Here is a 1,325-nt window from a genome sequence, read left to right as displayed (position 1 = left end):
ACGGATAAAACGTGTCTCCTTTGTCTCTCCCAGAAAATGAAAGGAATTGAAATTAAGAGAAGGGAGAGATTGAAGAGTGGAAAGGAGAAAGTGGTTGAGGGACAGTGAGAGAGGTTGGAGAAGAGAGTAAGAAGAGGCCGCTTACCTGATTTAAAATTGGTGAGATGTTCCTGGGGCTGGTCGGTCTGAGGACCTGAGGTCATAGGTGGATCTTTCTCATGGAGCAAAGAACAGGAGGACAGGGGATTGATCTCCCAAGGGAGGTCCCCCGATCCGAGTCACAGCACCAAATTTCATGCGCGTCTGTGTGAAGAGACCACCAAACAGGCTTTGTGTGAGCAACATGGCTGTTTATTTCACATGGGTGCAGGCGGGCTGAGTCCGAAAAGAGTCAGCGAAGGGAGATAAGGGTGGGGCCGTTTTATAGGATTTGGGTAGGTAAAGGAAAATTACAGTCAAAGGGGGTTTGTTCTCTGGCTGGCAGGAGTGGGGGTCGCAAGGTGCTCAGTGGGAGTGCTTTTTGAGCCAGGATGAGCCAGGAAAAGGACTTTCACAAGGTAATGTCATCACTTAAGGCAAGGACTGGCCATTTACACTTCTTTTGTGGTGGAACGTCATCAGTTAAGGTAGGGCAGGGCATATTCACTTCCTTTGTGATTCTTCAGTTACTTCAGGCCATCTGGGCGTATACGTGCAAGTCACAGGGGATGCGATGGCTTGGCTTGGGCTCAGAGGCCTGACAGCGCCCACTGTCTGGCACTCCCTAGTGAGATAAACCCAGTACCTAGATGGAAATGCAGAAATCACCCGTCTTCTGCGTTGCTCACGCTGGGAGCTGTAGACTGGAGCTGTTCCTATTCGGCCATCTTGTCTTCTCCCCCGTGTGTTTACTATTGAGTTCTGTGAGTTCCTTATATATTTTGGATATTAACCTCTTATCAGATACATGGCCCACAAATATACCCTCCCATTCTTTGGCTGCCTTTTCACTCTGTTGATTGTTTCCTTTGCTGTATAGAAGCATTTTAGTTTGATGTGGTCCCACTTGTTTAGTTTTGCTTTGTTACCTGTGCTTTTGGTTGTCTCATCCAAAAAACAAATCATTGCCAAGGTCCGTGTGAAGGAGATTTTCTGTATGTTTTCTTCTAAGAGTTTCATGGTTTCAGGTCTGAGGTATGGGGACATTTTAAAAAAGAGAAAACCATAGGAGAATTCTACCTGTGCATGGTGGGGCTCTTGGTTTTGAGGTTGTGCTTCTAGCTCCACAGATCTGGTCTCAAGGAAGGGAGATCTTCCATTGCCCAAGTAGCCCCTATGATGTCAGA

The 1,325-nt window shown here is 47.1% G+C and overlaps 1 annotated feature.

Moving 5' to 3' along the window:
* Positions 255 to 821: an enhancer, noted in NCBI's record as "NANOG hESC enhancer chr15:88374259-88374825 (GRCh37/hg19 assembly coordinates)". NCBI's record gives its function as "activates a minimal SCP1, AML or CMV promoter by ChIP-STARR-seq in naive H9 embryonic stem cells {active_cell/tissue: H9 hESC(naive)}" and the evidence as "EXISTENCE:reporter gene assay evidence [ECO:0000049][PMID:30033119]".

The sequence above is a fragment of the Homo sapiens genome, chromosome 15 (genome assembly GCF_000001405.40).
Source record: "Homo sapiens chromosome 15, GRCh38.p14 Primary Assembly".
NCBI lineage: Eukaryota > Metazoa > Chordata > Mammalia > Primates > Hominidae > Homo > Homo sapiens.
This window is presented reverse-complemented; position numbering and strand designations above follow the sequence as displayed.